This window comes from Homo sapiens, chromosome 19 (assembly GCF_000001405.40).
Source record: "Homo sapiens chromosome 19, GRCh38.p14 Primary Assembly".
NCBI lineage: Eukaryota > Metazoa > Chordata > Mammalia > Primates > Hominidae > Homo > Homo sapiens.
The window spans coordinates 47,658,248-47,681,328 of record NC_000019.10 but is presented as its reverse complement, the minus strand read 5'-3'; the positions used below and the strand labels follow the sequence as shown (position 1 = coordinate 47,681,328).

Here is a 23,081-nt window from a genome sequence, read left to right as displayed (position 1 = left end):
CCTCCCAAACCCGCCTCCTCCGGTACCTGCTCCCTTGCCCCGCCCTGCTTACCTGGGGCAGGAACATCTGCAGGGAGTCCTGAGTGAGGATGGCCGTGGGGGTGGCAGAGGGCGGCTGCCCCAGGACGATCTTCTCCGGGCTAGACGCCAGGCCAGGGCTGGGCTGGGGGGTGGTGGCCTGAGGCGGGGCGGCGGCCTGTGGGGTGGGGGCCTGCGGGGGCTGCTGCGCCTGCGGCTGCTGGAGGCCCAGGGGCAGGGGTGTGCTGACCGCGGGGGGCGCCTGGGGGGCAGGCTGCACCGTGAGGACAGGCGCGGCCTCCCCGGTGGCAGCGGCAGGGGTGGCCGGCTGCACCAGGCCGTCGGGGGTGTTGAGCATGGCCACGGCGCTGGGGGGCAGGGTGACCCCCTGGAGGACAGTGGTGGCGGCCGGCCCGGCGGGCGCTGGCTGGCTCTGCGTGGGCAGGCTGCCCGCCGCCAGCGACACGGGCATCTGGAAGAGCGCAGGCTGGCCCACCTGGATGGGAGCGGCGGAGAGGATGTGCGCGCTGTGGGCCCCGGAGTGGGGGGCCAACACGGGGCCCAGGCTCAGTGGGCCCGCCAGGTTCTGGTTTGTGAGGATGGGGTTCGCGATGAGCTGTCCACCTGTGTGGGGGGCAGCGGCCGCCAGGATCTGCCCGCCCACGTTGGCCGGCAGGGCTGAGAGCTGCTGCGGGAGCTGGACCGCCGGGGCGCCAGGCAGTAGGAACTGGTTCTGGCCCGGCAGCATGTGCTGGGCGGGGATGACGATGCTGCTGCCTTGGTTCAGGAGGTGGACGCTCATGGGTTTGCTCAGGGCCCCGGGGGGCTGCGGCGGGGCCGCTCCGGTGGTGGTGGCCGGTGGCTGCTTGAAGACGTTCGCTTGCAGCGCAGGCGCGGGGAAGCCCGACAGCACCACGTTCTGGCCCGCCTTCCCCGCCGCCATGAACGTCAGGTTCTGCGGGGCCTTGGGCTGCTGCGGGAGCGCCCCCGGCTCGCCCTGGATGGTGAGCGTGGCGCCCGCGGGCGCAAACGGCTTGGGCGTCAGCTGGTAGAGCTTGGGCGGCAGCACCCCCGCGGGCTTGGGCTGGATGGGCGTGGGTGTGCGATGCAGGATCACGTTGGGCGCCGGGACCAGTGGCGACGAGCCGAGGCCTGGGGCCACCGCCAGCGGCTGTCCCGAGGGCGTCCCGGTGGGAGCCGAGGCGGCCCCCGCGCCTCCGAACACAGAGTTCCCATTGAGCGTGGTGGCCACAGCGGCCGAGAGGTTCTTCTGGATGACCAGGCCAGCCCCCTGTGGCGAGACACCGGCCGACGCCAGCGTCACGGGCTCCGAGGGGCCAGCCGCCGAGGCCAGGTAGCCGCTGACGGGCACCTGCTTGGCCAGGAGCTGGGAGGTGGGCGTGTTGAGCGCCATGACGGGCTGGCCCACCACCTGGATGGGCGCCAGGCCCAGTGTGGCCGCCGTGGCACCCCCAGGGCTGCCATTGGGCAGGCCTTGGAGGCCCGGGATGGGCTGCAGTGTCACATTGCCCAGGCCCACAGGCTGCAGGAAGGGCTGCACACTCAGGGCCTTGTTGACCACGTCCTGGGGCGGCACCAGGGCCTGGTGGGTCAGCACGGTAGGCGGGCCCTGCAGCCCCAGCAGGTCGGTGCTGCCTGGGAAGAGGGCTTGGGGCCCCGCAGCCACGGCCGCTGCCCCTCCAGCGCCCGTCGGGCCTGCCCCGCCATCCGCAGGCTGCAGGGTGGGCAGCTGGAAGGGACCCAGGTCCAGCTCAGCCTCGGCCTCCAGCGTCTGCTCCGTGATGTTGGCCTCTTGGAGGCTCTGCTGGAGGATGTCACAGGGCTGGTCAGCGCCCCCACTGCCCCCGCCGCCGCCCCCTGTCGCAGGAGAGCCCAGGATGTCATCTTCCAGGAAGTCTAGGTCCACACTGGGGGCCGGCTGGTTGGGCTCTGGGTTCAGGTGGTTGCCGGAAGCTTCTTGCACATGGAGCTGCAGGCCGGGAAAGGTGGGAAGGAAAGAGCTGAGGTTAGCAAGGGGCTACGCTTAGGCCACAGCTGCCGCAAAGAATGCTGAGGTGACAGGGCAGCCACGTTCAAGAAAGAACATTCCCTCCTGGCATGGTGGTTCACGCTTGTAATCTCAGCACTTTGGGAGGCTGAGGTAGGAGGATGGATGGCTTGAGCCAAAGAGTTTGAGACCAGCCTGGGCAACGCAGTGAGAAAAAAATTTTAAAAAAGAAAAATTAGTCAGGGGTGGCAGCATGTGCCTGTGGTCTTAGCTACTTGGGAGGCTGAGGTGAGAGGATCACTGGAGCCCAGGAGTTTGAGGCTGCAGAGTGGAGCTACGAGCACTTCACTACACTCCAGCCTCGGTGACAGGGCAAGACTTTGAGAAGAAAAAAAAAAAAAGAAGAAAAAAAGAAAAAAAAAAGAAAAAAGAACATTCCACCTGCAAGTGGCTGGACCCGGGATCAAATCCCAGCTCTGCCAAGGCTTAGCTGTGTAACCTAGGGCGTGCTTGATCTGACCTCAGTTTCTTCATCTGTACCCATCAGTAAAATGTAATAAAAAAAACTACTGTTCAAGGCCACAGTGACTCACGCCTGTAATCTTAGCACTTTGGGAGCCTGAGGTGAGAGGATCTCTTAAGCCCAGGAGTTCCAGGCTACGGTGAGCTATGATTGTGTCACTGTACTCCAGCCTAAGTGACAAGAGTAAGACCCAGCGGGGCACCCTCAGGAAAGCCGCTGGTGGTGGCCCCAGGCCTCAGCTTGTCACCACTGGTCCCGGCGCCCAACGTGATCCTGCATCGCACGCCCATGCCCATCCAGCCCAAGCCCGCGGGGGTGCTGTCCCCCAATCTCTACCAGCTGACGCCCAAAAAACAAAAATAAAGTCTAGGCACGGTGGCTCACACCTGTAATCCCAGCACTTTGGGAGGCAGAGGCAGGTGGATCACTTGAGCCTAGGAGTTTGAGACCTGCCTGACCAACATGGTGAAACACCATCTCTACTAAAAATACGAAAATTAGCCAGGCGTGGTGGCACGTGCCTGCAGTCCCAGCTACTCGGGAGGCTGAGGCAGGAGAATGGCTTGAACCTGGGAGGTGGAGGCTGTAATGAGCTGAGATCCTACCAATGCCCTCCAGCCTGGGTGACAGAGTGAGACTCCATCTCAAAACAAAACAAAACAAAAATAAATAAAAATAAGCAACTATTGTTTAAATAGTGATATAGGCCCACAACACTTATCTGTAATTACAAAACCCAAAAAGCTCTAAGAACTGAGACTGTTTTCATAGCTCTGTTGGCAGCAAAACCTGACCAGAACCAACATGGCACTTTAGGTGGGATCCATTTATCCACATGATGTGACATCCCAAGTTTGGCCGCCGAAAGGCAAGCGTGTGACATGACACACACCACACATATGGCACCACTTTTCCAGAATTGGAGAAATTCGAAATTCTGAAACACACCTGGCCCTAAAGGTTTCTGACAAGCAGTCGTAGTTCTGGTGGAGTAAAGCTCACATCAGCAGTGGCTCCCATTTGTGAACTTCTGTGCCAACCGCACTGTGAGTTCAATGCTTTTTGTTTCTTTGGGTTTTTTTTGAGACGGAGTTTCCACTCTTGTTGCCCAGGCTGGAGTGCAATGGTGTGATCCTGGCTCACCACAATCTCCGCCCACGAGTTCAAGCAATTCTCCTGCCTTAGCCTCCCAAGCAGCCGGGATTACAGGCGTGTGCCACCATGCCCGGCTAATTTTGTATTTTTGGTAGAGACAGGGTTTCTCCATGTTGGTCAGGCTGGTCTCGAACTCCCGACCTCAGGTGATCCGCCCACCTCGGCCTCCCAAAGTGCTGGGATTACAGGCGTGAGCCACCGTGCCCAGCCTCAATGCTTTTTAAGTGCTTTTCATGCTATCCTGGACTGCAACCCAGGACACGCATGGAAAAATATCTGCAGGCATATGTGTGGAAAGCCCCACAAACAATACTTATGATACAGATTTCCATCTCCACCAATACTGACCAGATAACCCATCAAAATCTGCAGCTTCCAGGATTCTCAGTAAATCCACATGGAGGGTTCACGGTATCACCCGGCCCCTGGCAGGTGCTCGAGAAGCATCTATCATCATCACTCATTATTATTGTGATTCTCCATGCTGTTGTTGGTGACAGTCCCATGAGGCGGGTGCTGCTCCCTTCCTCATTTCACAGACGAGGGAACTGCCTGGGTCAACCACTGGTGAGTGGCGGGGAGTGGCAGGCAGACAGGGCTCTGGCTCAGCCTCCAACCGACTGAGGACCAGGCAGGCCACTGTAACCCCCTGAGCTCTTAACTGCCAGATGGTCACAACCAACCTGCCTCCTGGGATGCCTGTGAAAATTCACTGATGTCACGTGTGGAGAGTGTTTAGAACCTGAATGGGGATCTTAGGGTATACAAAAATGATGGTCGTGGTAAGAAGTGTGATCACAAAATAGTAACAGGATCACCACTGTTACTGGGCCTGTAAATAGACCAACATTATATAATTACTACATTTCCTCATCATTTATATTATGAAAGATAAGCTATTTGGAATATGATATTATAGCTGTGAGAACTAAATGAAGATAACAAGGAAGGGCTGGTCGTATAATAAGTGTTTGGTGAATGCGTGTTCTGATGATGAAGAGGGAAGGCGGGGAGGGTGAGGGGGGGAAGGAGGAAGGGGAGGCGGGGAGGGGGGAGGCCGAAGGAAGGTGGGGGGAGGAAAAGGTGAAGGGGGGAAAGCAGCAACAGAAGAGGGAGAAGGAGGAAGGAGGTGGCCACCGTGGTGTGGACAACTGGCACTTAGTCATGGGACCGGCATAGTCAGGCACACAGTAGGTGCTCAATAAACATCCTCTGCATTGGCCACTCTGGGCTTTTCTCAGCACCCATATTCACTGCCCAGGTGAAGACTGAAGTCTGCAGGTGAGGAGGCCCCTCCCCTAGGTCACACCCTGCCATGGCTGAGTTGGGCAGGACCCCAGGCCTCCCCCAGCCCTCTGCTCTCCAGGAGTGCCCCTGTGAACCCCACAACCCACATCCGCTTCAGCTCCCCAGAACCACTCTGCATGAGCCACCCCAGGGCCCCAAGGCCTCGGGGACCCTCACCTCTTCCCCAAGGGGTCTGCAAGGCACAGTCAGCCTTGTCCATGTTGGCCCCCCACAGGGTTCCCCAGCTCTGCTCCCTCCTGCACTGCCAGGGTGGTCCAGCCACCCTGGGTGGCCCACCCCCGCCCTCCTCCTGTCAACAGCCCTCACGAGATGAGCCCAAGCCTCCCCTCTTGGCTTCAGGGCCCTCCTCCCGCTGGCAGCCCCAACAGCTCAGGCAATGATCGGGAGCCACGGCACTTACCCCAGGACCTTCATAGAAGGCACTTTGGGCCTCCCCGGGATTATCCAGGAGGTCATCACTGTCAAGCTGCAACAAGACCCGCCCCATCCAAGGTCAAAAGTCAGCAGGGCAGGCCCATGCTCTGGAGCAGAAACCAATTTAGGGTCACTCAGGACAAAAAGACAAGGGTTGGGATGGGAGAGGGCTGGGGGTATGGGAAACTCTCGCCTCCGAAAAGAGGCCCCAAAGGCAGGGGCTTGGGTGCCTGCCTAAAACCCAAGGCATCCCCAGCACTGAGTCCCCGAGCCTGGCCTGCGAAGCGATCCTGCTGTGACTGCCTCGAATTCCGGAATCCTGCCTTCACGCCTCTGCCCAAGCTGCGCCCTGCCACTGCCCCCCAGTCTCTCCAGTAGCACAGCCTTCAGGAGTGGTCACTCGTGGTCCAACAGCTCCTGTCCCTTCTCACTAAGTACTCCTTTCCCAACGCAGCCTGAGTGCCTGGCACACCTACCATCCGGGCACCTGACAAGCCATGCGGTGCCATCTCTGGAAGGGCAGGGCATTCTCAGATGCTTAGCACCATCCTTAGTGCCCAGAACAGGCCCTGGCATCCACATATGTGCCCAGTGAATGTATGTCCATGGCTCGGGCTTCCCTAATTTCTTGTTCCATCTGGACATCTCTCCAGAACCCCAACTTGTACATCCACCAGCACCACCTGGACTTCTGGAATCTTCCCCAAATTCCCAACTTCAGAAAATGGCACCAGAATCCACTCAGTTGCTCAAGCCAAAATCCAGGAGCCATGGTGGACACTCTCTCCCCCTCAACATCGAGTCCACCAGCAAGTCTAGTTGATGCCACCTCCCAGATAGATCCCAAATCCAGTGCCACATGCCTCCCCCACTGCCTGCACCATGGCCCAGGCTGCCATCATCCCATTGCTCATGCCTCTGCTCTATAAATTATTTGAAACCTCTCCTTTCAAGAGGTGGAGCTCAATTCCCCTCCCTCTGAGTGCTGGCCAGACTGACTGATTAGCTTCTAGTGAATACAGTGTGATGGGAGGAAGGGTGTGGGACTTTGGAGACTGGGTCATTAAGGGCACTGCGGGTTCCTCCTGTGTCCTCTCTCGGATCACTCGTTCTGGGGGAAGCCAGCTGCCATGCTGTGAAGACACTCAAGCAGCACTAAGGAGAGGCCCCCGTGGTGAGGAACTGAGGCCTCCTGCCAACAGCCACAGGAATGAGTCCTGGTGGAAGCACATCTGCCAGCCCCAGTCAAACCTTTGGATGACTGCAGCCCCAGCCTACAGCTTGACTGCAACCTCATGAGAGTCCCTGAGCCTGAACCACCGAGCTAAGCTGCTCCCAGATTCCTGACCTTCAGACACTGCAAGAGCTCTAACAATTGTTGAAGGCACTGCATGCTGGGATAATCTACACAGCCATAGATACTAATACAGCTGCTCAGAGCTCAACAGACTTCTACTTTTCCCCATTTTGTTCCGTTCTCTGGGAAGCAAATCAAATATGGCATTCTCGTGTTTAAGGGCCCATCAGAGCTGCCTGTCACATTCAGAATAAAAATAACAACTCCTCTATCGGGCTTCCAGGCCTACACAACCTGGTGACTTTTACCTACTACAGTCTCACCTCCTACTAGTTTTCCCTTCAGTTTGGCCCCATCAGCCTCCTTCCTGTTCCTCAACCATGCCAAGCTCTCTCCCACCTTTGAACTTGCTCTTCCCTCTGCCAGGAGCACCGGGCCTGGCCACCTACCTCCCTGTGATCCTTCAGGTCTCACCTTCAATGTTACCTCCCTCGTGTGACCCTTTCTGATCACACTATCTAAAGGAGCCCCTGGGACCCATTTATTTTCTTTTAAACCTCTTTCATTGTGCAAATGACATTATTATTTTTTATCATACTCTACATGGTCCTTTTCACCATTACCTTTATTAGTGACTGGTTTCTTTGTTTCCCAAGGAGGTGTCCATGGAAGGAGGACAGGGGATTACCATGAGTTTTGCTCATGGCCGTAACTCCAGTGCCTGGCGTTAGAAGCCACAAGGCAGATGGCTACCTCATCAAAGGGACATGTCTCTCCCTGTCCCTCACTCCCAATTAGACAGCCCCCCACTCAGGGAATGCCTCTCCCTGCGCCCATGCTTACCTTCTCGGATCCATGCAAGAAGTCATTGAGGGCCTGTGGGTCACTGGAAGAGAAGAGGAAGAGACGCTGAGGAGGTAAGGAGCTGGGGAGGGGAGGGAAGGGAGGGGGTTGAGACAGAGGGCAGGGGGTGGGGAGCCCGTTACTCACCAAATCACGTCTAGTAAGCATCTCCCATCCTCATCATCCATCGCCACTGGATGGGGTGGGGTCAGGAAGAGGGCGAGGGAGACAAGGTTAGATTTTGGCAGCTTGCCTGGCCCCCTCCCTTCAGGGGAGCCCCCTGGAGGGGGTCAGAGTTTCTGTTCCCTTGAGTCCATGGGGATAGATGGGGACAAGGAATACCTCCCAGGTGCCCTCCCAGCCAGAAACCCCTGACCAGGGACAGGGTCCTTTTCCTCCCACTCCAACTCTCCCAGCACCTGATGATGATAATGATGATATCAACCAAGACTAAGTGAGTCCTGACCATGCCTCACACACACTAAGCTAATCCTCAGGGTATCCCAGGAGGGGTCCCACGGCCTGTACTTTGCAGATGAGAACTGGAGGCACCGGGAGGGTCATCCTCCGTCTCCCAGCAAGCAGGCAGCAGAGCCAGGCCTGGAACCTAGGAAGCCTGGCTCCTGAGCCCTGCTCTTCACCACCCTGCTGTCCTGCCTCCCCAGACATGAGGCGTGTGGTGGGGGTCTGTCCTACATATAAACGGGTGAAGGAGTGAGGGAGCCAGTGTAGACAAGAAGGGCTTTGTGGCTCAAGGCTCTGGGTGACCCTTGAAGATGTCTGCAATGTGTTCCCAAGGAAGGGGAGGGTGGTGGGGAAACTGAGGCAGAAGCAAGGGAGAGGGGCTCATGAGGAGGGGCGCTCTGAGTCAGAGAAGCCACCGGGGCAAGGCTGAGCCCTATGGTCTGAATGATGAGGATGAGGATGGCTAACATTTGTCGAGTGCTCACTAGGTGCCAGGCACTGTCTGAGCACTTCAGCAATGTTAGCTTGTTCCACCCCCATAGGGAAGGGATCGTTAGTCCCATCTGACACCAGGGGAAGCAGGTGTTCTCTGTATTTATTTACCCATCCACCCTCCCATCCATCTAGCCTTCCCTCCCCTCAAACACCCCTCCAAATATTCCTCCAACCCTCCAAAACATCCCTCCCTTCCCTGCCTCCATCCATCCATCCATCCATCCACTTCTTTATCTTTCCAAACATTTCTCCAAACATCCAACCAGCCCTCAGAAACATTTAACTAGCCAACCCTCCCTCCAAAGCTTCCTCTTTCCTCCCTCTAGCCATCAGTCTCCTCCTCCCTCCATCTTTCCATCCACCTACCTACCCATCCCTCCATCCTTCCACCCATCTACTTACCCATCCTCCATCCTTCCATCCATCTACCTACCCATCCTCCATCCTTCCATCCATCTACCTACCCATCCTCCATCCTTCCATCCATCTACCTACCCATCCTTCATCTATCCATCTACTTACCCATCCCTCCATCCTTCCATCCATCTACCCACCCATCCCTCCATCCTTCCACCCATCTACTTACCCATCCTCCATCCTTCCATCCATCTACCTACCCATCCTCCATCCTTCCATCCATCTACCTACCCATGCTCCATCCTTCCATCCATCTACCTACCCATCCTCCATCCTTCCATCCATCTACCTACCGATCCCTCCATCCATCCACCCATCCCTCCATCCTTCCATCCATCTACCCACCCATCCCTCCATCCTTCCATACATCTACCTACCAATCCCTCCATCTTTCTACCCATCTACCCACCCACCCCTCCATCCTTCCATCCATCTACCCACCCATCCCTCCATCCTTCCACCCATCTACTTACCCATCTCTCCATCCATCTACCTACCCATCCCTCCATCCTTCCACTCATCTACCTACCCATCCCTCCCATCCTTCCATCCATCCACCTATTCATCCCTCCATCCATCTAGCTACCCATCCCTCCATCCTTCCATCTACTTGCCCATCCCTCCATCCTTCCATCCATCTACCTACCCATCCCCTCCATCCTTCTACCCATCTACCCACCCATCCCTCCATCCTTCTACCCGTCTACCTACCCATCCCTCCATCCTTCCATCCATCTACCTACCCATCCCTCTATCCTTCCAAGCTTCCATCCAAACACCCCTCCTTCCCTTCTGCCAAATACCCACACAGACCCATCCTTCCAGCCACTCATCCCTTCATTACTTCCTGCACCCTCTGCTCCCGTCTCCTCCCAATGACACATACAATACACAATGGAAAAGAAGACCTGATCCCTGAATGGTGGGAATTTACAGCTCAGGACCGTGGAGTTCCCTTACCCTCTTTTTTTGTTGGGGTAGGGGGTCCCAAACCTCACTGACGATGTGACAACTGCCACGGGTCACCATTCCCACCCAAAAACCCCACATATAAAATCTTACATGCACCCTCAGCTGGTTCACAGCCCCTCACCCTGACAGCATACTCTGAACTCCCCTAACAGGGGCCTCCTTAGTGCCACCCCCAAGTCCTCCATCCCCAGTGCTCAGTGACATTATGAAGAGCCCTGACCAGGGACCCCCCACAGTGGGCTGGGGCATATTTGCTGAATCAAGTTGTGAAAAATCTAATGACACACGCATGTTTCATGCCAAAACATGCATGTGGGTAAGAAATGTGACACATACTTTTCCAGGGTTCACGGATCACCCTCCCTGCAGCACAGAGACACATGCATCTCCAGAGCCCCACACGCCAATTACTCTACCTCTCAGGGGCTGGCTGTGGGGAGTGTCCCCGGGGAGGTGCCTCCCGGGCTCTCGCTGCCTTAGAAGTGGTGAGGACGTACTCTCACCACCTGCTCCACATCCCAGCCCCACCAGGCTTCCTCCCCCTGTGTCACCAGGTCCATGACCTATGAGCCCCTTCCCTCCCCAACCCGCTCACAGAAGGCATGCAAAGGCATGGTCTGCAAAGAATCTGGAGAAAAGGGGAAAGGGGCAGAGAGAAAGATTTTGCTTGCAGCTAATGCAGAGGCAGGGTGATGGCCCAGATGACCCAGGAGGCCCAGGTGGGAGAAGAAAGAACCAGAGATATTGCTTAGCCAGGCTCTTCCAGGAAGGAATGCTCCTTCCTCATCCAGGGGCCAAGGTGGTGCTGGGGAGGTGGAATGAGGGACGGTTGCCCCTCCAGGAATGAACAGGGATGCTTCGCTGGTTACCTGCGCTACAAACGAATCATGAAGGGAAGGAGGGGCGTGTCCACTCCAGGTCTACACAGGGCCCCCAGCTGGGGACTTGGAAAGGGTCCTCTTGGGGGCCAGCTGTGGAGAAAATGAGAGACAGACAGTGAGTGAGAAAGTCAGCGAAAAGGAAAAAGACGTGGTCAGAGACGGACAGAGCTATGGGATGTAGGTGGGAGAGGGATGGACAAAGGAGGGGGATGGAAGAGAGACGGGAGGCTGAAAAGGCAACATTCAAGGGAAGTTTAAAAAATTTAGAATCACACAAAATGGCTGGCGCGGTGGCTCACGCCTGTAAATTCAGCACTTTGGGAGGCTGAGGCAGGAGTATCACTGGAGCTCAGGAGTTCGAGACCAGCGTGGCTAGGCAACACAGGGAGATCTTGTCTCTACAAAAAGAAAGTTTTTTGGCTGGGCATGGTCGCTTGCCTGTAGTTCCAGTTACTTGAGAGGCTGAGGCAGGAGAATCGCTTGAGCCCACGAGGTCAAGGATGCTGTGAGCTAGGATAGTGGCATTACACTCCAGCCTGGGCGACAGTGAGACCCTGTCTCAAAAATAAAAAAATCTGTCCGGGCGCGGTGGCTCACCCCTGTAATCCCAGCACTTTGGGAGGCCGAGACAGGTGGATCGCGAGGTCAGGAGATCGAGACCATCCTGGCTAACCCGGTGAAACCCGGTCTCTACTAAAAATACAAAAAATTAGCCGGGCGTGCTGGCGGGCGCCTGTAGTCCCAGCTACTCGGGAGGCTGAGGCAGGAGAATCGCGTGAACCCGTGAGGCGGAGCTTGCAGCGAGCCAAGATCGTGCCACTGCACTCCAGCCTGGGCGACAGAGTGAGACTCCATCTCAAAAAAATAAAATAAAAATAAAAATAAGAATAATTTAAATAGAACAAAACCACACTATACATACTATTATCCCATATATATACTACATATATGTAGCACATACACTATAGTGTATATAACATATAGTGTTATATACTATGTATACACATAGTATATAACATTATACTATGTCATTTACTGGCACTTCAGTATAACAAAATACAGCCAATTCTTGCTATTTGCAGTAGTGAGGTTCTAGAAAGTCACCGTGAACGCTGAGCTGCCACTCCTGGGGAAAATACAAGGCTAGGTTCTTGCCAGGTTCTGGCCACTGTATTTTCACCCATCAATCGATACATCACCTTGACTTATATGCGTTTCTGTTTGAAGCCATCTTATTTAATCTATATTGTTGATTCATTCACATTGAACTCATGGCTAACAGGACTATAACTCCCACCTGAAGGAAGCTTCTCTAACACAGGTATTTTCTCCAGAAGGCACATCACAGCCTCACTGCCCTTAGGAACACTAGATTTCTGCACCCTGCTTGTAGCCATTTTATTTTATTTTATTTTATTTATTTTTTTGTGTGTGTGAGTCTTGCTCTATCACCCAGGCTGGAGTGCAGTGATGCGATCTCGGCTCACTGCAACCTCCGTCTCCCAGGTTCAAGTGATTTTCCTGCCTCAGCCTCCTGAGTAGCTGGGATAAGGCACCTGCCACTATACCCGGCTAAGTAGAGACAAGGTTTCATCATATTGGCCAGGCTGGTCTCAAATTCCTGACTTCAAGTGATCCACCCACCTCGGCCTCCCAGAGTGTTGGGATTACAGGAGTGAGCCACTGCGCCTGGCCTAGGAGCCATTTTAAACAGAGAAATCACCAATAAGAAGCACAAAGACAGCCGGGCGCCGTGGCTCATGCCTGTATCCTGGCACTTTGGGATGCTGAGGCGGGCAAATCACTTGAGGCCAGGAGTTCGAGACCAGCCTGGCCAACGTGGCAAAACCCTTTAGTCTCTACTAAAAATAGAAAAAATTGGCCAGGCCTGGTGGCGGGTGCCTGTAGTCGTGCCTACTCAGGAGACTGAGGCACGAAAATCACTTGAACACAGGAGGCGGAGCTTGCAGTGAGCCGAGATCGCACCACTTGCACTTCAGCCTTGGTGACAGAGCTAGACTCCGTCTCAAAAAAAAAAAAAAAAAGACTCACAAAGATGTGAAAAATGTGGCACTAAACAGATTGCAAAAACGACACTGCTTTGCAATTTGAGCTGAAACAAGACATCAGGCCCCACCTCAGCTGGGAACCTGCATGTCAGGCAGCTCAATTTTTTTGGCCACTCTACCCACTTCTGCAAATGATCAGCACCGTTTTGGGGTTACCAATGTTCGCAAGTAGGTGAATTCGCAAATACGGGATCTGTGAAGAACAAGGACCGACTATGACAATGATAAACCACGCTGACTGCGGGCCCACTATGTGCTGGGTGCTGGGTGCAATGACGCGATCTCGGCTCACTGCAACCTCTGCTTCCCAGGTTCAAGCGATTCTCCTACCTCAGCCTCCGGAGTAGCTGGGATTACAGGCATGCACCACCACGCCCAGCTAATTTTTTATATTTTTAGTAAAGACAGAGTTTCACTATGTCAGCCAGGCTGGTCTGAACTCCTGACCTCAGGTGATCTGTGCCCCCTTGGCCTCCCAAAGTGCTGGGATTACAGGCATGAGCCACCGCACCCCACCCAGGCTGGGATTTCAGCCCAGGCAGGCTCACTGCAGAGGCCTCGCCCTTCACCACTACCCAACAGGCGACCCTCTCCTGCTACTTCTCTCGTAGGATCTGAAACAAATACAGCAGAATGTTCAGGCACTATCGCGAGGCTGGGTGATGGGGGTGTGCGTCTCTGTTATCATTTTATGAATGCCTGGGATGCTTCGGATTGGAAAAGGAGATAAAGGGACTGGCATGGAAGGAGGAGGAAGGAACAGGAGTGGCGAGTGGCTTTCTCTCTTCCTCTCAGGTCCCGATCCCAGAAAGAGCTAGAAAGCAGATGTCGCAAGACCCTGGAACACAGGATTCTTTTCCTCTGGAATGCGGGTGCCCTGTTCCTGCCTGGCCTGAAGGTGTGCACGAGCTCCCAAGATGAAGGGTTCACGTCTGTTCATGCCTCCTCCCTGGCTCTGGTAGGCGTGGCCCAAGCTCTGTGCACGACCTACCTACCAGCAGAATTAGAGACAGGAGGGGATGCAGCTCCCGTGAGGCTTCTGCAAACCAGTCCCGAGGGTGAATTTCAAAGTGGAGGCTGCAGAGCTGTCTCTGAGGATTTTGTATTCATGTGCTTTCATTCCAATGACAACACTAAAGACATGAATAGGGCCAGGCGCTGTGGCTCACGCCTGTAATCCCAGCACTTTGGGAGGCCAAGGCGGGCGGATCACAAGGTCAGGAGATCGAGACCATTGTGTGAATGGTGAAACCCCGTCTCTACTAAAAATACAAAAAATGAGCCCGGCGTGGGGGTGGGCGCCTGTAGTCCTAGCGACTCGGGAGGCTGAGGCAGGAGAATGGCGTGAACCCGGGAGGCGGAGGTTGCAGTGAGCCGAGATCGTGCCACTGCACTCCAGCCTGGGCGACAGAGCAAGACTCCGTCTCAAAAAAAAAAAAAAGAAAAAAGACATGAACGGGAACTTCCTGGGGAGAGGGAAACAGTCCGTGTTGTGACCAAGGTGTGGTTATGTGAGTGTTCAGAATTTAACAGCTCGGATTTGTGTGTTTCAACACAGGAAAATTTTACTTCAAAGAAGTAAAAAGGAGGGAGGCATGGTTAGCTCACACCTGTAATCCCAGCCAAGGCAGGGAAGCTGAGGCAGGAGGATGGCTTAAACTCAGGAGTTGGAGAACCAGCCTAGGCAACACAGCAAGATCTCATCTCTACAAAAAAATTTAAAATTAGCCAGGGGGTGGTGGTGGGCACCTGTGGTCCAATCTACTCGGGAGGCTGAGGTGGGAGAATTACTTGAGCTACAGAGGCCAAGGCTGCAGTGAACCAAGATTGCACCACCACACTCCAGCCTGGGCGACAGAGTGAGACTCCATTTCAAAAAGAAAAGAAGGCCGGGCGTGGTGGCTCACACCTGTAATGCCAGCACTTTGGGAGGGCGGGGTGGGAGGATCAACTGAGGTCAGGAGTTCAAGACCAGCCTGGTCAACATGATGAAACCTTGTCTCTACTAAAATACAAAACAGCTGGGTGTGGTGGCACATGCCTGTAATCCCAGTTACTCCGCAGGCTGAGGCAGGAGAATTGCTTGAACCCAGGAGGCAGAGGCTGCAGTGAGCTGAGATTGCGCCACTGCACTCCAGCCTGGATGACAGAGCTCAAAAAAAAAAAGAAGAAAAAGAAAAAGAAAAAAAGAAATTGGGCGAGGGGCTGGGGTTACTGCCTGTGCATGCTCACAGCAGGAATCAAGTGCACCTTGACTGATTCTGAGGCTCCCATCCCTGGGCTGCCACTTCCCGTTCCCAGCCGTGTACCCTAAGACAAGTTACTTATCCCCTCTGTGCCTCCGTTTGGGGAGGATAACACTACGTCCTCCATGGGACTGTTACATAGGAACACCTCTAATCCATGCCCTAAAGTACTTTGTAAGCAGTGTGTACGCTAGTTGTGATCATTTTAATTGCCACTGTTGATGCTATCTAATGGGGCGACTCCCAGAGCTTTTGGGCCACAGCCCAGTGAGGCTGGACAGAAGTCCCCGGCCCCACTTTGGTGCTGTTTGCCGCACATGGCCTGTGTGTGTATCTGGAAGGGTTAACAGATCTCCTGCTTCAGCCAGGTACCAGGGTTCTTTGAATCCTTCCAAACACCCTGGTATTACCCCCATTTTCCAGATGAGATAAACGCAATGGAAAACAGCAGTTTTGGGGGCGCTGCGGCACCTGCACTGTGTGCACCCTCACCAGGCCAGCTAGGTGTCTTGCTGCTCTCAACCCAGAAGGCAGGGGAAGCCTTTCAAGACACACATGAAGATTAAAAAAAAACAAAACAACCAGCCAGACATGGTGTTGCACACCGGTAATCCCAGCTACTCAGGAGACTGAGGCAGGAGAATTGCTTGAACCCAGGAGTTCGAGGCTGCAGTGAGCTGTGATCGTGCCACTGCACTCCAGCCTGGGCAAGACAGCGAGACCCCATCCCAAAAAAAACAAAACCAAAACTTTAACATCAAATATCATATATCCGTCTGATGGTTTGGTTGTTTACTGTGTGTCTCCTCTACCGAAATGTCCCCCAGGACAGGAACTTTTGCTTGTTTTGTCCTCTGCAAGATCCCTGGGGCTGGCACATTATGTGGCATACAGTAGGAGCTCAATAAATATCTGTGGGATGAATGAATGAATTTGCAGAGGAAATTAAACAAATCCTTTCATTTATTCAAGAGGCAACCTGCTGAAATGTACATTTAGTAGGCACCTACTGTGTGTCTGGTGGGGGGTGCTGAGGACAGCAAAAGGGCAGAGGCAGACCCCATCCCTGGCTTGGGGAGCACAGCTGGTGGTTCTCAGCCAGGGAGGGTGCTGGAGACCTCTCCCCTACCCCCCACACTCAGAAACTTTTGAAACAGTGACTGAGGTTGCAGAGTGGGGGGGCGGGGGGGTGGGGGTTGAAAACTAGTATGCAGGGTTGCGGACCCAAAATTGTCACCAGCACCCTGGAGACAAGCCCTGGTGTGGCACACTGGCTTTTTAACCATCTGTCCGCTGCCCCCCACCCAGTGGGCCTGCTCCTACGGAAAGATTCTCCTTCCATGAGATGGAGTGGGCGCACTGTGTCTGTTCAGAGCAGAAGCTTCAAGAGCCATCACATAGTTCCCCTGAGTTCCAGAACAGGGCGGACATGTGGCCAGAGCCACAGCCAACCCCCCACGGGCACACACACGAGCGAGAAGCCAGCCTCTGCCACCACGGACCACTGCGACCCGGGCCCACTCGTCACTGTGGCATCACACAGCCGAAGCTGCCTGGCACACCCTGAAGAGCCCGCATTGCCTGAGTGCTTCCGGGTACCAGCCCCTGTGCTTACTCCATACCCACCGATCCCTCCCCATCCCCACGGAAGCACTGCTGATGCACATCTTACAGGAAAAGGAGACTCGGAGGTGGTCAGGACACTTGCCCCAGATCGCACCATGGGACCAGAATTTGAACTCAGACCCTGTGATTCTGAAGACCTCACTCTTCACCACCACACTATAAAAAGCAGGAAAGGCCGGGCCTGAAAACCACAACCAGCTCCAGAGAACAGCCATGACGCAACAATGACACAGTGTCCTTCCAGAAAATTGTGTGAATTCCTCCTCCACTTGTAATGCAATCGGAGTTTTGCGCTGTCATCAGGAGCTGTGCAGAAGCCAGGCTGCTAGCAGGATACGGAATTAAAAGGGCCAGCTAAGCTCCACAAACAGGCGAATTTTAATTTCCCAATATAAATTGGAGTAACCTCAGGTTGCCTGCCAGTAATACAAAGTCTCCAGAACGATATCATTTGCTGATAAGAAGTGCAAATGATGTGGCAAAGTCTATCTGTTGCTTTTCAAAACACCATTTCCCCACCTCTCCTCCTCCGCTCGCAGAAGCCTGACTCTGTGCAGGGTTAACACTTGCCAACGCTAAGATGTAAACAAAGACTGTTCTAGGCCAGTCTTTCTCAAACTATGGGTCATGCCTTTGAAGGTTGTGAAATCAAATTAGCAGGTTGTGACCAGGAACTGCTTTAAATAATTAAAATGCATGGAATGGAATGGAATGGAAGACATTAACGTGTATCATACATGGTAAGAGTGAGTATTTGAGAAATTGGTTTCAATAATGTGTGTGTGTGTGTGTGTGTGTACTGCGACACAAAGAAACATATTTTGGACTGTGAGTTGTGGTCAAAATAGCCTTAAAATAATTGAACTAAGCCAGAGGCATTCCTATCTCCTTTATCAGACACTCACTTTCCCAGCCTTTCTTGCAGTTAGAGTAACCACAGTTGTGCAAATAGTAAAAACTGAAGTGTACAGACAGGTTCTGCTCAGTGAGACTTTCAGGGAAAGTTTTCCTTCCAGAATACAAAGACAGAGTTTCTCCAGAAAGACAGTCTTTTGCTCCTGCTTCCAGTTTTGAATACAGTTGAGATGACTAGAGCTGTGGCAGCCATTTTGCAACCACGGGACAACAAACCTGAGGCTGAAAAGCCCACCAGCAGAGGATGGTTGATGGGAGCTGACAAAAAGACCGTGTTCTTTTTTTTCTTTTGAGACGGAGTCTCGCTCTGTCACCCAGGCTGGAGTGCAGTGGCGCAATCTTGACTCACTGCAACCTCCGCCTCCCAGGTTCAAGTGACTCCTGCCTCAGCCTCCTGAGTAGCTGGGATTAGAGGCACGTGCCACCACACCCGGCTAATTTTTGTATTTTTAGTAGAGACAGGGTTCACCACGTTAGCCAGGCTGGTCTTGAACTCCTGACCTCTAGTGATCCACCCGCCTCAGCCTCCCAAAGTGCTGGGATTTCAGGCGTGAGCCATCGCGCCGGCCTGACTGTACTCTTCATAACTCTTCATGGGCTGCCCGCCTCCAAACTTGTTAATCCTTATGGTTTAAGCCACTATGTGGTTTCCCATTATTTGCAGACAAATACAACCTGACGCAAAAAGAGCTCCCATTTCTGGATTTTCTTTGCAACCCATGGCAAGGCCTCTCACATGGGTCAAGGGCTGTTCTTTGTGGGTCACTGATTAAGAAGAGAGGTCAAACAAAATGTGAGAGGGCTGGTGGAAAGGGGATCTGAAACAAAGGCCACTGTGGTTGATTGCAAAGTGGCCAGAAATTCTCCTCCCTCGTCCCACACTCTTTGCAGCTCCTCCTATTAAGAAGTGGGGTCTATGACTTCAGCCCTTGACCCTGGGCTGGCTTCTTGACTTGCTTTGGCCAACAGAATGTGGTGAAAGTGATGGTGTGTGATTCTTTTTTTGAGATGGAGTCTTGCTCTTGTTGCCCAGGCTGGAGTGCAGTGGCATGATCTCGGCTCACTGCAACCTCCACCTCCCGGGTTCAAGCGATTCTCCTGCCTCAGCCTCCTGAGTAGCTGGGATTACAGGTGCGTGCCACCACACCCGGCTAATTTTTGTATTTTTAGTAGAGACGGGGTTTCACCATGTTGGTCAGGCTGGTCTTGAACTGACCTCGTGATCTGCCCGCCTCGGCCTCCCAAAGTGCTGGGATTACAGGCATGAGCCAAGGAGCCTGGCCGATGGTGTGTGATTCTGAGCCTGGCACACTTCCAGTCTTTGCCCAGCTGCCAGGTGAAGAAGCCCAGGCTGGCCTGCAAGAGGATGAGAGCCACGTGCCCATCACCCCATCACCCCAGCTAACAGCCAGCCAAGCCCTAGACGCAGTCACCAGCTGTCCAACAGCTGACTACAGACACCCAGCCCAGGCCAGAAGCACCTAGCTACGCCCAGTCCAAATTCTAACCGTTGGGATCATGGTTTTCTTTTTTCTGTTTATTATTATTTTGATTTTCTGAGACAGGGTCTCGCTCTGTTGGCCAGGATGGACTGCAGTGGTGTAATCACAGCTCACTGCAGCCTTGACTTCCTGGGCTCCAGGGATCCTCCCACCTTAGTTTCCTGAAGAGCTGGGACTATAGGCGCACGCCACCACACCTGGTTAATTCTTTGCAGAGACGGGGTCCCACTATGTTGCCCAGGCAGGTCTCAAATGCCTGGGCTCAAGCGATCCTCCCATCTTGACCTCCCAAAGTGCTGGGATTACAGACATGAGCCACTGTGCCCAGCCAGGGCTGTGTGTTATGTAGTGACAGCTCACTGATACAGCTCTCTCTGGGGACTTAGGAACCAAGTTTGACCCCACATCTGACTCATCCAAGTTTTATCCATCCCACCTCCCATATCTCTCCAGTCAGTGCCCTCCTGTCCATGACCACTATTCTGGCCCAAATGTAGTAAATGTATTTTCTCATCACCAAGCCTGGGTTCACATTTGGCTTATTGACATCTGGCTGCTCCTGCCATTAAAATACTCAAAAGCTGACCTACCGATTGGTAAATAAATGCTGCCCAAGCAGCCTCAGCTCCTCCTATATGCCTGCCCCACACTGGACACCGAGATGCCATGTGTAAACGACCATAGAAAGCCCTCCTCCCCGGCCCGGCTCCCTCTGGCCTCTGCTCCTCCCCGCGAACCCCCTTCCTCGCTGGCCACCGACTGGACCTGCCCCAACTACGAGTCCAACCTCTGCCTGGGCCACGTGGCTATGAGCCCTGGTGTTTGGGAGTCTGGGCATTTGATGGGTCAGATTCTGTCCCATGAGCCCTTGGCTACGGCCACCTCTGACTTCATCATCTTCGTCACCCCAGCCAAGGTTGCTGAATGCTTACTAAGTACTTCGTCTTTTTTTTTTTTTTTTGAGACGGAGTCTCGCTCAGTCACCCAGGCTGGTGTGCAGTGGCGTGATTTCAGCTCACTGCAACCTCTGCCTCCCGGGTTCACGCCATTCTCCAGCCTCAGCCTCCTGAGTAGCTGGCACTACAGGCGCCACAACCACGCCCAGCTAATTTTTTGTTTTTGTATTTTTAGTAGAGACGGGGTTTCACTGTGTTAGCCAGGATAGTCTCAATCTCTTGACCTCGTGATCTGCCCGCGTCAGCCTCCCAAAGTGCTGGGATTAGAGGCGTGAGCCACCACGCCCGGCAAAGTGCTTCATCTTATCATTTCATTCTCACAGCAACACTATAAGGCAGATGCCATTATCCTCATGCCCATTACACAAATGAGGAGACTGAGGCCAAAAAGGGTTGGGTACTTGCCCAAGGTCACCCAAGAGCCAGGATTTGAACCCAGCTGAGACTCCTAAGCCCGTGGGAACTACATGATGATGCCAGCCTGGCCATCTCTCCCTCCACCCCCCACAGCAGGGGTGTACTACAACAGGTTCCCCACCTCTGCCACTCACCCGGCCAGGTCCTCTATCCCTTTAGTTGTCCTGAAATGCCTCGAATGAGTCATTCCCGTGAACCTTGGTCAGACAGACAAATGAGGTGATGTGTTCACCTGGTACGTGGACTTAACATGCTATGACGCCTAGAAGTTAAGCTCTTAGGATGTATTTCCAAGGCCTTTGTAGTGAGTTGAATGGTGGCTCCCACCACAAAAAATATGTAAACATCCCAGAACCTGTGGATGTGGCCATCCTTATTTGGAAAAAAGGGTCTTTGTAGACATAATTAGATTAACAATGTTGAGATGAGACTGTCCTGGATTATCTGGGTAGGCTCAAAATCCTATGATAAATGTCCTCTTAACAGCAAAGGAGAAGTCACAGAAGAACAGAAGGCCATGTGAAGAAGGAGGCAAAGCTTAATGTCACGTGGCTACGAGCCAAGGACCACCTAGAGCTCCGGGGGCTGGACCAGGCGAAGAAGGCTCTAGGCTCTTCCCTAGAGCCTCCTGAGGGAGCACAGCTCTGACAACCCCAGTGGCCCTGCTAACACCCTCATTTTGGACTTAGGGCCTCTGGAACTATACGAGAATAGTTTTCTGTTTTAAGATCCTGCATCTGTGGTATTTGTTACAGCGACAATGGGAAACTAATGTACATGTAAGTTTCTAAGACAGAGACGCATACAATACGTACAGAGTATAGAAGATATATATGTAGCCTGGGCAACACAGTGAGACCCCATCTCTACAAAAAATTTTACAAATTAGCCAGGTATGCTAGTGTGCACCTGTGGTCCCAGCTACTTGGGAAGCTGAGGTGTGAGGATTGCTTGAGCCTGGGAGGCTAAGGCTGTGGTGAGCCAAGATCATGCCACTGCACCACAGCCTGGGTGACAGAGGGAGACCCTGTCTCAAAAAAGAAAAAGAAAGAGAGAAGAGAAGAGAACGTGTGTGTGTGTGTGTGTGTGTGTGTGTGTGTGTGTGTGTGTGTGTGTATGCACCACCATGTACAGCTGCACAGGTTGTTCACTGCACAAAGGAATCCAGACAAAGGGGCAAGTGGGGCATCAAATCCAGTCCAGGTTCTGCTCACACCTATGAGCCCCAGAGAAGGGTGGCATCCACATGGAGAAAGGAGTCCCCTTTCCCAATTCATACAAAGGACACACCACAGAGTCATGCCCTCTCGGACAAAGCACCATTTTCAATTGCATGAAAAAGCCCCGTAAGAGCTGGCTGGGCCCTGGATATGTAGCCGCTTGCATGATGTGTCTATTTTAAAGCTAGAAAAGGAAAACAGGGAAAAAAATGTTGATTCTTCACCCACCTCCACCCCTGTTGGGAAAGACAGAGAAAGAGCAATTTGAAGAGCAATTAAAATCTACACCATCTTTATTTTTAGTGACCTTTAGATCTCTAAAATCATTGAATTAGTTTAACCAAATAAAGTGGGCCCCATAAAGCTTAGATTGCTCATAAAGCGACTGATGTCTGGCTCTTAAAAGCCTATTTTATACAGGTAGTTACAAACTAGAAATGTTTTATGCATCTTCTCTTTTCCCTTTTCACCATTCGACGCTGTTCTAAATACAGCTATAAAGCTGCAGTCTTGCCAAGAAAACCAGGTATCTCAAAAGGGTTTGGATTTTTCTCAATGCTGGCTTATGAGAAACAGGAAAAACCCTGGGAGAGGGTAAAGTACAGGCATTCGGGGTGGGTGGCGGAAATACAAAAGAAATGATTATGTTCACCGGACACAGGGACTCACACGTCATCAGGCAACGAAGCAGGCTTCGAATTCAGGGGAAAAAAATGCAGCTAAGGGAAGCAAAGGGGAAAACAAACGTTCCCCAAGACGTGCGCACGGGTTTGTAGACCACTGGTTCCTAATACAGATTTGAGAATCTGGGAATCGGCAGGTCCCGGTGCGGCCTGAGACTCTGCATTTCTAATGAGTTCCCAGGTGATGCTGATGCTGCTGGCACAGACCACACTCTGCGAACCACTGTTCTAGAAGCTGCTGCTGCTTTTTTTTTTTTTTTTTTTTTTGAGACGAAGTCTCATTCTGTCACCCAGGCTGGAGCGCAGTGGCATGATTTCAGCTCACTGCAAACTCTGCCTCCCCGGTTCAAGCAATCCTCCCGCCTTAGCCTCAGGAGTAACTGGGATTATAGGCACTCGCCACCACGCCTGGCGAACTCCTGACCTCAAGTCATCTGCCCACCTCAGCCTCCCAAAGTGTTGGGATTACAGGCATGAGCCACCATGCCCGGCCTAGAAGCTTCTGTCTCTTTAGTTTTCCTTCTGGGGTTCTTGTTCTTGTATCAAACACAAGCCACCAGTTCCTGGTCAAGGTCCAGGCCCCTGACCAAGTGGTCCCACCGAGTCTTCTCTGAGGCTCAGGAAGGCTAATTTAGAAGTTGCCCAGGGTCT

General features: G+C 53.4%; 1 protein-coding gene across 2 annotated transcripts in view, besides 2 other annotated features; it reads right to left on the bottom strand.

Annotated features, from left to right (window-relative positions):
• Positions 1–23,081, bottom strand: part of BICRA (BRD4 interacting chromatin remodeling complex associated protein) — a 95,082-nt gene that overhangs the window by 21,949 nt on the left and 50,052 nt on the right. For both annotated transcript variants that reach the window (NM_015711.3, NM_001394372.1), the window contains exons 2-6: positions 10,785–10,886; positions 7,714–7,759; positions 7,567–7,609; positions 5,413–5,478; positions 53–2,008 (exon numbers count right to left, since the gene is read on the bottom strand). In NM_015711.3, the coding sequence (NP_056526.3) occupies positions 53–2,008; positions 5,413–5,478; positions 7,567–7,609; positions 7,714–7,754 (2,106 nt within the window). In that variant the 5' untranslated portion in view covers positions 7,755–7,759; positions 10,785–10,886. The remainder of the gene's footprint in view (positions 1–52; positions 2,009–5,412; positions 5,479–7,566; positions 7,610–7,713; positions 7,760–10,784; positions 10,887–23,081) is intronic.
• Positions 19,476–19,975: an enhancer, noted in NCBI's record as "H3K4me1 hESC enhancer chr19:48164611-48165110 (GRCh37/hg19 assembly coordinates)". NCBI's record gives its function as "activates a minimal SCP1, AML or CMV promoter by ChIP-STARR-seq in naive and primed H9 embryonic stem cells {active_cell/tissue: H9 hESC(naive and primed)}" and the evidence as "EXISTENCE:reporter gene assay evidence [ECO:0000049][PMID:30033119]".
• Positions 19,976–20,477: an enhancer, noted in NCBI's record as "H3K4me1 hESC enhancer chr19:48164109-48164610 (GRCh37/hg19 assembly coordinates)". NCBI's record gives its function as "activates a minimal SCP1, AML or CMV promoter by ChIP-STARR-seq in primed H9 embryonic stem cells {active_cell/tissue: H9 hESC(primed)}" and the evidence as "EXISTENCE:reporter gene assay evidence [ECO:0000049][PMID:30033119]".